General features: G+C 37.1%; 1 protein-coding gene across 38 annotated transcripts in view; it reads right to left on the reverse strand.

Annotated features, from left to right (window-relative positions):
* The window catches only part of SORBS2 (sorbin and SH3 domain containing 2), a 370,850-nt gene that overhangs the window by 92,135 nt on the left and 263,982 nt on the right, over window positions 1–14,733 (reverse strand). For 9 of the 38 annotated variants that reach the window (NM_001394255.1, NM_001394257.1, NM_001394247.1 and 6 more), the window contains exons 3-5: window positions 7,097–7,189; window positions 1,139–1,165; window positions 766–890 (exon numbers count right to left, since the gene is read on the reverse strand). In NM_001394255.1, coding sequence (NP_001381184.1) covers window positions 766–890; window positions 1,139–1,165; window positions 7,097–7,157 — 213 coding nt within the window. In that variant the 5' untranslated portion in view covers window positions 7,158–7,189. Of the gene's footprint in view, window positions 1–765; window positions 891–1,138; window positions 1,166–7,096; window positions 7,190–12,904; window positions 12,955–14,733 lie in introns of all 38 variants that reach the window. The other 29 variants (NM_001394267.1, NM_001394266.1, NM_001394270.1 and 26 more) reach the window with 7 other exon arrangements.

Genomic DNA, 14,733 nt, shown 5'->3' on the forward strand with positions numbered 1-14,733 from the left:
CAGAGAAAGAAATAAAGTTGAAAGAAAAACAGAGAAAGTCCAAGTTAGTCATGAAAGAAACCAGTGTCAACCTTGCCTTTACAGAAGTAAAGCAATGCCACACCTTCTGATTATGCTATCCATTTTGTTAGCTAGATTGAGTGATCATTTTCATTCCATTTAGAATGCACTTATGTTTATTATCAATGTTTGCCCTTGGGGAAAAAAGTGTTGCCAGAGAATACATTATAACATTTGCTCCATCTACATTCAGGGAAATTATGTTAAAAGTGAACATATGTTCTCTTGGCATATTTTATTAGACTTTGACATATATATATATAGTTTATTTAATAGCATTGTTTTATAACAATTTTCATGCTTGTGGCACAATTTTACTAATATCTCCAACACAGAGCCCTTTTAGTTAATATAATAGTTGCATACTCATAGTTATTGAATACATAATGTATTGCTGACCTCATCAGTTTAAATCCAAAGCATCAGCTGTCAGCTTTTAAAGAATTAGAATATATCCTAGAGATTATGTTAAAAACCGACATACTTTGATAAGCTTAATCAGAAACAAAACCAAACCAAACCCTTGTTTGTTAAAATTTGTTCTCCATGTTGTAAATACAAACCTGGCAAGCAAACTAAATACAAAAGCAAAAACATATTAAAAATAAAACGTATTGAAATACGCACATTAGGAAAGAGGCTGTAAGCAGTGGTCTAATAATCATGCCTTAAAATAATGCAGTAGCCAAGAGTGTGCAGGGTTACCTGAGTTGGTGATCTTTTATCTTGTAGGTTTGGTCGAACGCTTCTAAAACCTTTTGCTGCAAGAGAGGAATATGTAGCATCTCCGTTCAGTGTCTCCTGATTGCCATCATTGTAAGATCTCCAAGCTTTCATTAAGGGAAAACAATTGGATACAAAAATATCTACGTTCACTTAAACATTTTTTATAAAATTTATTTTTATTTCCAAAATCATTTTTATTTCCAAAATTGTAGTGTTCTTACTAGAGGTTTAATTTAATATGCATAACAGTACATGAAATTTAAATTTAACATGAAGTCAGCGATGTGGCTATGAATATGTTTTCTAAAAGTCACAAATAATATAATAATTATTCAGAATATTTTTTCTGTACCTGAGTCTGGTGACTGAGAATCACGCCCTGAAAGAAAAAAAAATGTTGAAATTAAGACTAAGGTGAAATAAATGAACAACCCAGTAAAAATAACATGGCAAAGAACTATATGCATTGTTTTTGCAAACATTATTTCAGTTTTAAAATCTGGGTATGTCAAACATGCCAAAGGGAGGCTTGTACATTTATTTTTACTTCAATTAGAATGTCATTCATTAAATATCTATAATATATAAATATCTATATAGTAAACACTCATTTTTCCCCTCAATAATGTTGCAACATGCAATTTTAATCTTATTATGGCAAAGATGAATATATGAATTTCTAAATATCAAATTAAAGGATCAAAAGAGATCTGGTTTATAAACAGCACTAACTCAAACTGCCAGATCCTTAGCTTCCAATGCCCTGCTGTTGATAAGCATATTTAACTCCTGTGTTACAGAACTGTATTCTGTAGTTCGCATTTTTTTTTACCTTAAGAAACTGTAGACCTGTCTACCATATCATGTGACATTTTCAAATTATTCTCGAGACTGAGTTTTTTTCCTATTGCAATATAAAAGTCATTTTATACTCAAATATGAAAAAACTGTTACAACATGTTCCACTGTCTTTCAGCTAGTAAGCTGTGGAAAATAAATTTCAGGACTAATAAATTGCTTTTGGTAAGGCAGTTGGCAAGTTATCAGTGATATATTTGTTATCAATTTTATTGAAGTTATATATTCCAAAATCTTCTATATGCACATTTGAGGTAATCAGTTTGCACGTTTAACTCATGTGTATTTTAAGTCATCAGCTTGTGTTGCCTGGTTTATTAAAGCACATGGTCAACTTTACTTAGATTCATTAAGCTTTAACTTTGGAGGTGATCCTAGGGGTTGGATCATTAGCCCAACCTGCTGTCCAGTCCTGGATTCCTTCTACGTGTTCCCCAGGACCATTATTAGATTCCCATTTCAATTCATAAAACAGGAATTTTACATGCTGGAAAAGTCTTTGTTTTTCTTTTAGTGCTTCAGCACAGTTATTTTCAAGTTTAAACACATGAACTTAGAATGATAAAAATGGGCTGAGAAATGCGAGCATCTGATTTTTAGATAAAATATTTGATATGGGTTCTTTCCAAATCAAAGGAAGGAACACAAATGTGAGTCAGCACAGAGTACATTAGAATGATTCCAGCTCAGGTGAGCTAGAGAAGACTAATGAATTCCCATTCTTTATGATCATTGATAACTTGGTATGGATTTTATCTCCAATGAATTTAAAATTGGAGTAATAAAATGGGTACCATAGAGAAAAATTACTTTGAAGAATTATGCATGAAATGTTTATTGGACCCTACTTCTAGAATTTGTACAATTTTTTGATTTTTATTTTATTTTTTAAAGATGGGGTCTTGCTATTTTGTCCAGGCTGTCCTTGAAATAGTGGGCTCAAGAGATCCTACAGCCTCAGTCTGTTGGTTAGCTGGGACTACAGGTATGTGCCACTGGGCCTGGCCCTTCTTCTAGGATTTGATGGAAGCAGAAATGATTGAAATTCTTAATCAGCTATATGATGAAGATAAAGAAAAATACAGTTTGACAAAAAATACAGAGCAATCATCAGAATGCTGCTTTAGGGCACTCAGGAGAGAGATTTAATAACCATGAGGCTGCCATCCACTGTGGACAATGAACAAATTTTGGGATTTGGGAAAGGACAACGAAAAGCAAATTTTGGAATTTGGGAAAAAGCAATAAAATAGCCCAATGCTACTTTATGAAAAGAGAAGCAGCATTAATAACAATGATTATATTCTGATTTTTTTCTTGAGGATAGGGAGTTTCTTTTATGCTTGGTTTGGTAAAACTGAGATAAAAAAGAAGGCTGTGTGTTAGCGCTGGGGACGAGGTAATGGGACCCAGAGGCTTGGAGGTGCAAGGGTGCAGGTGCGGTGAGAAAGAAGAAGGTGTACTGGGCGGGTCTGAAGGACACTAGAAATAAACTCCCTCTAAATGATAGTCTGTAGGGGGCAGGCTCTGTTTCTTCACGCTGGTCACCGTGTTGAAGATGAGGAGCCCCAGGAGACGGTAAGTGTGAGAATCAGAGGACAGTCACTCCAGGCTCAACTGTGGGTTTCTTCCTGGGACACTGGGCCCAGGGATTTCCAAATGAATCTGTCCCTGTGCCACTGGAAACATTAGACAGTAAGAGGGGTGGGCTGTTCTGAAGGGTCTTGCATCGCACAGTGGACACGAGTGTGCAGAATTAAGAGAAAGGAGAAAATGGCCATTGAGTCGAACTTCAGGATGAACCAGTATTTTAATAAAGCTTATGTTGATGATTAAAGTCTGCCTTGAAGTGGCTGGTCTCTCAAGGAGACTAAAGTACATTCATTTCTCTTTCTTTAAAATAAATCCAATTACAGATACTTGGAACACCCAGTCCTGATTTGCTCTTTTATTATAGTCTTCTATGTGGACACTTTTTAGCATAGCCCTGCTTTTATTTTATCCCTGCAGGAAAGACTAGGAGAGGGAGGACACCTGTTCTTTGGAGCAGGTAATAGAAAGTATCATGGATCCACATCAAGTAAAGAGAATATAGGTTAGAAAAAAAAAAAAAAGTCGCCCAGGTAAATGGCTTGGCAGATGTGTGGGGAAAATGGATTTCCCCAGATCTGCAGCATTATTGGTGCACATTCACTTGTGAAAAAAACACAAAGCTAGGACTAGGGGCCAGAGTCCTTAATTTCTAGTGTTCTTTAGTAGACAGTCACTGCTTCACTGAAAATCCACGAATGACTAAATGGTGTAAGTTTTCCCCTTTCCTGGCTGTTTTGCATGTGAATATTTTAACAAATAGGGTCTTGAAGAATGAAGAGCTCCACGTGCTCTTACCAGCCCTTTTCCTTGTGTCGAGGCACAAACTGGTGAGTCTCTGTCTGAGATTTTGTGCAAGACATTCCCGGTTCCATGTCAGGGGTGGAACTGGATGCCCTCCATGGCCCTTTCCACTGTTATCATTCTAACATGACAGCTTTCGTGTAGCTGTGTTTGTGATACGTGTCACATCGTAATCTCTACTCTCAGGTTTTATTTAAATCCCTTTTAACTGATATGCTCTATTGACACTATCACTATATTTTTCTTGAAAATTATTATTTTGATGCCTATAACTCATTTCTTTAGAAGACTCAAGTGCTTTTTAAGAATTATTTTAAAATGTTGATTAAATTCAGGTCAACTAATTGAGTGCCTACTGTGTTTCTATGTACAATTATAACCCTTTTCATTTATTTTCTTCATTTATTCTCATTTATTCTGACAAATCCTTGTGAGTCTGGGAAACGATTAAGCTTTCAGAGAGGTAAGAAATGACAAACAATTTTTCATTGGAAAGAAAGGAAATGAGATCTAGACAGACTAATTTTCTTAAGGGCATGAAACATGCAGGTGGTATCGACAAGACCCTGTCTCTTGGCGGAGTGGTCCCCATACTGCGGCATTCCTTTAGGCTGACAAGGGGTTTTGGTGAAATAAAATGTTTTCAATTGTTTCTCAATAGTCATTGTCTTGGTTTTGGCATAGGTTTAAAATATCCGTGTGTGCTCTGATGGATTGTCCAGTGGGAATTTACTTCTTATAAAAGGAAAAGAGAAAGACAGACTGACTCAGGGGACAAATAGGTGGTGACTCAGATTGACTGTCTGATCAGAGAAGGGAGTGAAAATGGCTTGGGACCTTTTCTGGAGGTTTTACATAAAGGCTGTTGTATTTTAACAATATCGAAGGCAATAAATATTTATCAATTCCCTTTTGATTCACATATAGACACTGTATCATATAAGTTCTTATGAAAGCTACATAGAATGCAGTTGTGCATATTAATGCTAACTTCTTTATTCAAAAATATAATGGAAGCTTCTTTGAAAAAGGGGGCCAGGTGTAGTGGCTCAGGCCTGTAATCCCAGCACTTTCGGAGGCTGAGGCGGGCGGATCACTTGAGGTCAGGAGTTTGAGACCAGCCTGGCCAACATGGTGAAACCAGGTCTCTACTAAAAAAAATACAAAAATTAGCCAGGCATGGTGGCAGGCACCTGTAATCGCAGCTACTCAGGAGCCTAAGGCAGGAGAATGCTTGAACCTGGGAGGCAGAGGTTGCAGTGAGCCAAGATCGTGCCACAGCACTGCAGCCTGGGCACAGAGCAAGACCCACCCGTCTCAAAAAAAAAAAAAAAGAAAAGAAAAGAAAAAGAAAAAGGGATCTTACTTTACGTCTAATTGACACAAAAGAGGGCTGTTTTTAAACAATTATGTCCAAAATTCAGTGGACTTCATTCTCTAGAAATCATATGCCTAGTGATAGAAAACTTAAAATAGCCCAAAGCTACATTGTTATTACTGAAGATTATTTCATATTCCTAAAGTGTGAAATGTTTTTTTTTTCTTTTTTGCTGTTGTAATTCCGAAGCATTAAATCTTTTCTATGAAGTCGAGTTATATGAAATTGCATGTAGTTCAGTTTCGACTCTCCACATGGGCACTGTGGAAGCAGTGTGGCGTTCCCTGGTACGTGCGTCAAGGTTCACGTCTGAGTAGGTTGGACTGAGATCCTATTTGGTTGAAATGTCAATGACATTCAGGGTATTGGCATTCCAATTACACGATGGCCCTGAACTCTTACGGTTATTGTCTTACTTGCCTTCATTCCTGTTTCTCATGGTATCCAAGGTAAATACATCTGTAGTTTTTCTAACACCTTTTTATGTTCATACGTGCATGAGCCACTACATACAAATAGAGATTTGTATAGAGATTTTTTTTTAACCAAAATGAGGTCATACTATAAACCTTGCAATGCATCTTGCATTTTCTTTTAACTTAATATATAACTGAACTCACTAGCCTGGCATTTAAACTTGGACGTTGAAATCCATTTGTGGATTAGAGGTGGTGAACGGAAGTGGGATTCTGCATATGGAAGTTCATTTTTTTTTCTCAAGAAAAACTCAGTAGTTTAGAATTAAGTGGCTGTAAAGCGAAGAACACCCTGAGTATTTAATCAACTTCTAGATGTATGTGTGTAGAAGACTGTGATATGCATAATGAGAATTAAAATTATTTAAAGATGCCCCATCCCTTTCTCACTTCTGCTGTAAGACCCATTAATCTTATAAATAAAAAACAAGCAGTCCCCAAACTGCAGCTAACCAACCAGCCAACCAACCAACCAACCCACCAACCAACCCATCACCAACAGGTGTGGGTCTATTTCAGGGTCTGGAGGCACTGGGCTTGCTGGCCTCCCTTTGACCTTCTAACAGCTGCACCCCCTCCCAGTGCAGACTGTGCCTTAGGTACTGTGCCTAACTTCGGTACTGTGGCTTAGGTAGTCACAACAGAGATTTATTAAAAAGAGACCACCTGAGTGGATGCTGAAATCTCGCACCCCCAGTGACTTCCTATCTGTGGGTACATGTGAATCTTAATTGGTCAAGATTTTGGTATGTTTAAATATATATAGTAGAAGGGTATTTGCTGATTGGATTAAAGGAAAGCAAAGGTCTCTTTCAAAACTAATGTTCTATCATTCTGTTCACAACCTTTGACAAAGAATCCAGTTAATGAAGATTCAGTTTCCTACAAATCCCTTTTTTCATCCTGTACCCCTGTACCCCTACCCCAAAAGTTTTTAGGTTAAAAAAAAAAACCCCAAAACCTCTGAGTTATCTTAATGAAATATTATGCTACTTAAGTTCATGAGATAACAAAAACGTGAATAGTTATTAACACTCGCAGTTACTCAACCTATTTTTGGCAAGTGACTGCTGTTTTTAATTACACATTTAAAATGTTTCCTACAAGATCTCATTTTCCTTTGCTTTTTACGTTTAGAACAAAAACAGTCAGAAGAGCTAGAAGCCATTCAAGTGCGACATTGTGTGAGTTAGTGATATTATACCTGCAGCCAATAGGTTTGGAGAACTTTGCACTCTCTTCACAGATGTTAGCGTAACAGACATGGCGGCACGTTTGCGAGCACACCCACCGCTATCTGGAAGCAAAAAAATGATATAGCAGAGGCCAAGGCAACGGGAAAAGCACGTGCAATATCATGCGTTTTAAGAGAAATGTGCCAGACATCCATGAGAAAGATGAACAGTTAGAATTAGTAATCATGGAATGCACCTGCCAATTTCACACCACCCTCAAACTAAAACAAACAAAACGAAACAAAACAAAAGAAGACCAGGGATCTGTCTTAGAAATAGGTATCACTGTTTTAGTGAAAGCATGGAAGACTTAATACTTAACATTTTATGGTTTTCTTTGTGAAAACTCAGGCACAGAACTCAACTTTGTTTATACCATTTAAATTCAATTTATACTAAATCTATAAGCACTGGATCTGGCTTTTAGAGTCAAGGATTAGCTCCATGTCAGGATTAAAGGCTATGGTACAACATACTTTTAAGTTAATATCATTTAAGTTTTACCATCTTCTAGCTGTTATAATTCCCAAAGAGAGCTTGAATAATTCTTGCAGTAAAAATTATTAGTGACACAGGTATGATACATTTTTTTAGGATTCATAGAGGAACACATGGCATCATGGAAAGTCCACTCTTCCTGTAGTTAGTGTTAGTTATGCAAATAACTAGCCTTATTAAAATAAAAGTATTGATATATATGGTATCGAAATGACCATGTTTAAAGAAAGGAGTATATTGCTTTTACTTTTTAAATTTTTATTTTTAGGGCCGGAGTCTTGCTCCATCACCCAGGCTGGAGTGCAGTGGTACCATCACAGCTCATTGCCATCTCAACCTCCTGCGCTCAAGCAATCCTCCTGCCTCAGTCTCCTGAGTAGCTAGGACCACAGGCACACACCGGCTAACGTTTTAACTTTTTGTAGAGATGTGGTCTTGCTGTGTTCCCCAGGCTGGTCTCAAACTCCCTGGCTCAAGGGCTCTTTCCGCCTCGGCCTCCCATTACAAGCATGAGCCACCGCACCTGGCCTCATTTATTGCTTTTATACTTTTAACAATATGTGTACTATGATTCATATCTTTAAACTTATGCAAGTCATAATGTGAAATAAAATCAGTGTAAGTTCATCAGCCATTTTAATGTGCTATGAGAAGTTTAGACTTCTAAATTTGGAAGAGAAGTCTTTTAAAATTGGAAGGCCAATGTTCTATTTATGACCAGATTCAAATTCCATTCTTACATTCCTCTGTAATATGGCATGGCAATAAATAGTTTTGCTCATTCTCCTCATTCTGCTTATTGAGTAAAACCAAATTAAATTAAATCTTTTTGAAAGTTATAAAAAAAGACAATATAACCACCGATATAATAATATAATCATTATATATTGTCACATTTCCATTTTTCCTTTTTCTTTATTTTCATAAGGAAAGTATCAAGTTTGTTTATTGGACATGACAGAATTTAGATTGGTAAAGATGCTCGGAAGTATAATTTGAAGGAATTTTTCATAAAATTTATAAATAGTAAGATTAATAGAACTTAAAAGCAGTGGAGTGATTCTTACTTCACTTTTTTAAAGTATATGTTTAAAGTAACAATTTCTTAATGTAGAAAATCATTAAACCAGAAAACCAACTTGAAAGAATATTAAAAGAAAATGAACCAAATAAATCAAAGGTTATAATTAAGAACCCAAAGAAAGTGACACAAATGGGAGAAACAACTGAAGATTCCTTCAGGAAAGGCTCCAAAAGGATTTTAGCGAACTCAGCAAACTGAAAGTGCTTAGAGACAAGTGCGTCTGATAAGATGGAGGTGATGTTATTGCTTCCAGGAGCTGGAAACTGGTTGAAATGGTTGTGTAGTCAAAGGTGTTGAAAGTAAAAACTGACATCACTCTAAGAGTGATTTTATTTCCTAGTTCTGTTAATTCTGAACATCTCACAAGCACATAGGTGAAAAGAGAAAATTCCAGAATGAGAAGATCCAGGGTCACAGGTTAAATCTCTGGTGTTCAAACTGTGGGCTGCGATGCCCTGGGCTGCACTGGTGCATTCATGAGGGTGTTGGGGGGTAGTTCCTGTTTTTAAGGAAAACACAGTGCTAACTGTTGGACACTCAATGAACTACTTGCTTGGGGCAGTGCCTGGTTTCAACATAATAGACGCGCTATATTCCTTTTGATGACATCATATTTTGGAAAAACTGGGATTTTGATACTTGCTATGATAAAAAGCAAGTACCATCTGAAGAACATTTTATTTATTTATGTTTAGAGACAGGGTCTTGCTCTGTTGCCCAGGCTGGAGTGTAGTGATGCATTTGGACCTTACTGGGCTCAAACTGATCCTCCTACCTCAGCTTCCCTCATAGCTGGGATTACAGGCACATGCCACCACGCCCAGCTAATTTTTAAAATTTTTACAGGGATAGGGTCTCACTATGTTGCCCAGGCTTGTCTCCAACACCTGGGGTCAAGCGATCCTCCTGGCTCAGCCTCCCAAAATGCTGGAATTACAGGCGTGAGCCACCGTGACTGTCTGGCCTGTAAATCATTTTAGATCAGTAAATGAGAGTGGTCATGTACAATCGAATTCTAAGGTCTGAGAAATTTTTCAGTGTGCAACAGGCACACACATAATATTAGTAAGTAATTCTTGTTATAAAGAAAGAAATAAAACTATTTTCTTTCAATTTATGTGTACTGTTCTGTCAAATGGCTTCTAAGTTGTTAGAACAAAGTATTTATAAAGTAATTATTAAGTTATTAAGTTGTTAGCACCTAACTACTTAATAAATAGAAGTGTTACATATTTTTGACCTAGGAGCACAGTGAAGAAATTACTGAGACATTAAAGGTCACTGTAAAACAAGAAAGTTTGGGAATCCTTGGGTTAGACAATTTATGTATTTTAGGAAGCTCTAAGTCTTAGATGAAATAAATGGAGGCTCTGTCTTTAATAAAGTTTAATAAAGGGCTGAATTCTAAAACTTGAGGCATTTGTAAAATTGCTGGAACAGAATGATCTATTATATTGTGTTTCTACTTCCTTTTGTATTGATACTTTCTGATACTCCTTGAAGATATTTTTAAGATCTTAAAACAAGGATGCTACCTTTCATGTGTCAGTTTATCCTAAAGAATCCTAACGCTGGTCTTGCCTTTTGTCCTCATTAATGACCTGCAGCCTTGCTAGGCTACTCTTCCCCTGAGCTGCAAGATTCCTGGAAGCTGTTCCTACTGCTGGAAACCCCTCATATGGGTAAATTATAGATGGATAATTATTTGATGTCTTTCCTTCTCTCCTTTCTTCAATAGCTAAGATATGCCTAAGAAAGTAATGTGTTAAACATTCTAAAAGTGGACATATAACATGTTTTGTATATATTTTCTACATTGTTTAGACACTTTAGTATGAAAAATTAACCACATTCCCCATGGCTAGTTTATTATGCACTGATTAAAAGCAAATACTTAACTTAAAAGAATGCTTTTTAGCCGTGGTGACCAACACATGAAGATTTAAATAGGAATATATATTTTTAATGATTGATATATTGGATAGATATATCTATCAATAAAGAGATATATTCCTGTTTAAATGAATATTGATATATATATCAATAAAACTGGCCTGTATTATTTATCTATATAGATTATCTGCATTGTCTATCCATATATTATCTGCATTATCTATCTGTCTATTGATAGATAGATAAATAGATAGATAGATAGATAGATAGATAGACAAAAAAGTCAGAAGAGCTAGAAGCTATTTTGGGGATGAGAAAAATAACTTGTGGGGCCACTTTATTCATCTATCTATCTATCTATCATCATCTGTCTATCTGTAGATAGATAATGCAGGCCAGTTTTATTGACTAGCTCTTTAGGAACAAATTCCTACTTCATTTTGTAAACACAGTAACAATGCTTTCAAATTCCTAAGGCAATATATGTGTGTATATATATACATATATATTTAAAAGTGGTATGTTTTTATAAAAACATTATAATTATTATTTTGGAATTTTGAGCAAAAGTTTTCAGTCACTTTTGATCAATTTTATGCATATGTTTGAATACCATATTTTCCAATCATTATACATTAAGTGGAAGTTCATCCAAATAAGCAAAATAATCCTATACAAATTGCATCCCATCCAGAGTCAAGCTTACTCCTTAGAAATGAGAAGATGCTTTAGAAGGTTACATTTATGCTGCTAAGCAGTAACTTGGGTCAAGTACCTTAGTGACTTAAACAAATTTACAAATTTGTATGTGCTTATTTTGCTATGAGGGATTGAATTATATGAATAGGAAGGTTAATTATTGAGTGTACTGCCCATCAACACAGCATATTCAGTATATCATGTATGCATATCCCTGTCATAATAGTGTTATAATAAATAGGAAAATCAGCACTCAGTAAAATGAGGAATACTGGGAGTTATGATCCACTTAAGTCTACAGGGAAATGTCTTGGAAGGATCAGGAAATATCACTTCCTCATGTGGAACTTCTGCTGGAGTGACTTTGTAGCTCCAAAACATGGCTGATGCTAGTCCAGCTGTGGGCTCTACATTCTATTTGCTTTCTTCTGTCTCCTTTACCTGCTAATATTTTCTACTTCATTCCCCATGTCTACTTCTGACATCTCCAATCATCAAGTTGCCTTTGTGTGGTGCATATGCAGGGTTATAACTTCTCTTGATTGCTGAGCCTTCCTTGTGTGTTTTGACTGTCTCCAGTATCCTCATCTTGCCTGTTGTCCACATGTCTGCAAGGTGACTGCATCCCCAGGAGCCCGCCCGCACAGCCTTCTCTGAGGCCACTACGGCACATGGCACATGACGCAAGGCTCTGCACTCGACCTGGGGATTAGGTATTGGTCCTCGCCAGTGGCTGGGTAATCCTCCTTGTAGCACTTGATGCAACAAGAGACCTCAAAAAGGCAACCAGCTGGACATGAGAGAATATCTTGGGCCATCCTTTCTACTCTGCCATGGCGCGACGGCTCAAACAACTTTCCAGTGATCACTTGTGGATAGGAAATGGTATCGTTTAAACACAAGTTACAAAATTTCAACGAGAAAGTTGTTTCTTGAATTACTTTGTATTGTATATTTCAAGGTGGGGGGAAGGCAAAATTATAAGCCAAATTATTTCTACTGTGGAAAAAAGTTCATATGTACAAAGCATGTATCATGAACACTTTTACAGTTAAAATGTAGACAATACAGTTTAGAGACACAGTTGTTAAGTTATTTGGAGATACTACTCTCACATCTACACATATAATGCTTATAACACTATGGGAATTGTGACTATAGGTTAATTAAGCTGATTTTGTATAAAACTTTGGCACTCTATCTGCTGACTTCTTCAACATAAAGAGTTTATAGAACAGGTAAGTTTGAATATTTTCTTCTAGAGCAACTTGCCTTTGAATTTAGCCTATTTTTAAGTGAGAGATTTCAAAAGTACACAAACAAACGACATACTACCTCTTCCTATTGTTTATAGGAGTTAGTTTTAACATGTGATTAGAGAAAAAGGGAGTAGGAGCAAGTAATAGAAGAGAAAATTCTATGTTTGGTGGCTATAAGAGTGGGGCACAAATACAAAGAAAGAAAGTAATGAATCTATGCTATGTATCTAATCAGAAACTCAGAATCACATTTAGGATCAGAAGAGTGCTAAACTAATGATTTAGGGCCAACATGATTTTTAGAGAGCAAGGCTAAAAGAGTTTAAAACTAACAGACAGCATACCTGTGTTCATTTTCACCTTGGAGAGTTTGTTATTAAAGTCTTCAGTTTTCCTGTAGGAAAAAAATGGTGCATAATTGTTCACTAGCATGTGGAAGAAAATATCATGAAAGTGTGTCGCATTTTTGTTTTTGATGTACCTGTAAGTTAATATCACATTATCATTAGTCTTATTTAAATCAGTGTTTAATAAGGTAGGAAGAATTTATAATTCTGTTCATGTTAAACTTTAATTATTGGTCCCATGCTCATAAAACAGACATATTCTGTTTTTATGCTTTTGTTTAATGGTGAGCATTAATGGATGAAAATGGAGACGTTTTGTGCTTGTTTTTCTTTTTTTCTTTCTTTTTTTTTTTGAGACAGAGTCCGCCACTGTCGCCCAGGCCACAGTGTAGTGGTGCGATCTTGGCTCACTGCAATCTCTGCCTCCTGGGTTCAAGCGATTCCCCTGCCTCAGCCTCCCAAGTAGCTGGGATTACAGGCACATGCCACCACACCCAGCTAATTTTTTTCTATTTTTAATAGAGACGGGGTTTCACTATGTTGGTCAGGCTACTCTTGAACTCCTGACGTCGTGATCCACCTGATTCGGCCTCCCAGAGTGCTGGGATTACAGGCGTGAGCCACCGTGCCCGGCCTGTTTGTTTCTTTTTTAGAGAGAGGGTTGTGCTCTGTTACCCAGGCTGGAGTGCAGTTGGTGTGATTGTAGTTCACTGTGGCCTTAATTTCCCGGGCTCAAGCCATCCTCCCACCTCAGCCTCTCAAGGTGCTGGGATTACAGGTGTGAACTACCGTGCCTGGTTGAGTTTTCCTTTTAAAAAATTAAATTTCTTTTACAAATATTTATACAAATGGTTTTTGTTCTCTAAGCCTGAAATGATTGCCTGTTAAGTGTCCTCTTCCAGAGTTTTAAAAGTGACCCTGGCACTTTAAAATCATTGCCTTACATGTGCAGGTCAGTTGACTACCGGGGAATATGTAATGAATGTAACGCATATTTTCAGGACACTGTCAAGAAAGATGAGATTCATCTTTCTCTTTTTTAAAGACACAGGAAATAGATGGTCACTACAAAATCCATCTCTGCATTAGTATTGAATGCTGATTTTTCCCAGTGAAATGTTGGATGCAAAGCAATTGAGATTAATTCGCTAGAAACGGTTGGCAGAAAGGGGTTGTCTCAGAAAAAAGTTTTTTTTTTTGAGATGAGTCTCGCTCTGTCGCCCAGGCTGGAGTGCAGTGGTGCGATCTCGGCTCACTGCAAGCTCTGCCTCCCGGGCTCACGCCATTCTTCTGCCTCAGCCTCCCAAGTAGCTGGGACTACAGGCACCCGCCACCACGCTCGGATAATTTCTTTTTGCATTTTTAGTAGAGACAGGGTTTCACCATGTTAGCCAGGATGGCTACGATCTCCTGACCTTGTGATCCGCCCGCCTCGGCCTCCCAAAGAAAAAGGTTTTAAATATTGTGTATCGTTTTATGACATGTGAGATGACTTAGTTCTTTCTCTGGCATATTCTCTTAGCCCATTTATGGAGTTTCTTATTTACCCATACCCTGAAACCAAAGAGGAAAGACACGCTGATAAGGTAGCAAATCTCCTAAGTCCAAGAGCTCCCTGCAAGAGCTGTCTGACCCCGGCCACTTGGCCTTTGCTCCTGAGTGGGCCTGTTGTTGAGTATCCACAAGAACCCCCCCGCACAGCACAACACACTCACAGCTTCCAGGCGCATCAGTACTGCAACATCCGAACATTTTCAAGAATTTTATTTATTCCTTTTGGATGAATGAGGATAAATTTGAAATGAAATCATTGGCATGATCACCTG

This window comes from Homo sapiens, chromosome 4 (assembly GCF_000001405.40).
Source record: "Homo sapiens chromosome 4, GRCh38.p14 Primary Assembly".
In the NCBI taxonomy this organism is placed as follows: domain Eukaryota; kingdom Metazoa; phylum Chordata; class Mammalia; order Primates; family Hominidae; genus Homo; species Homo sapiens.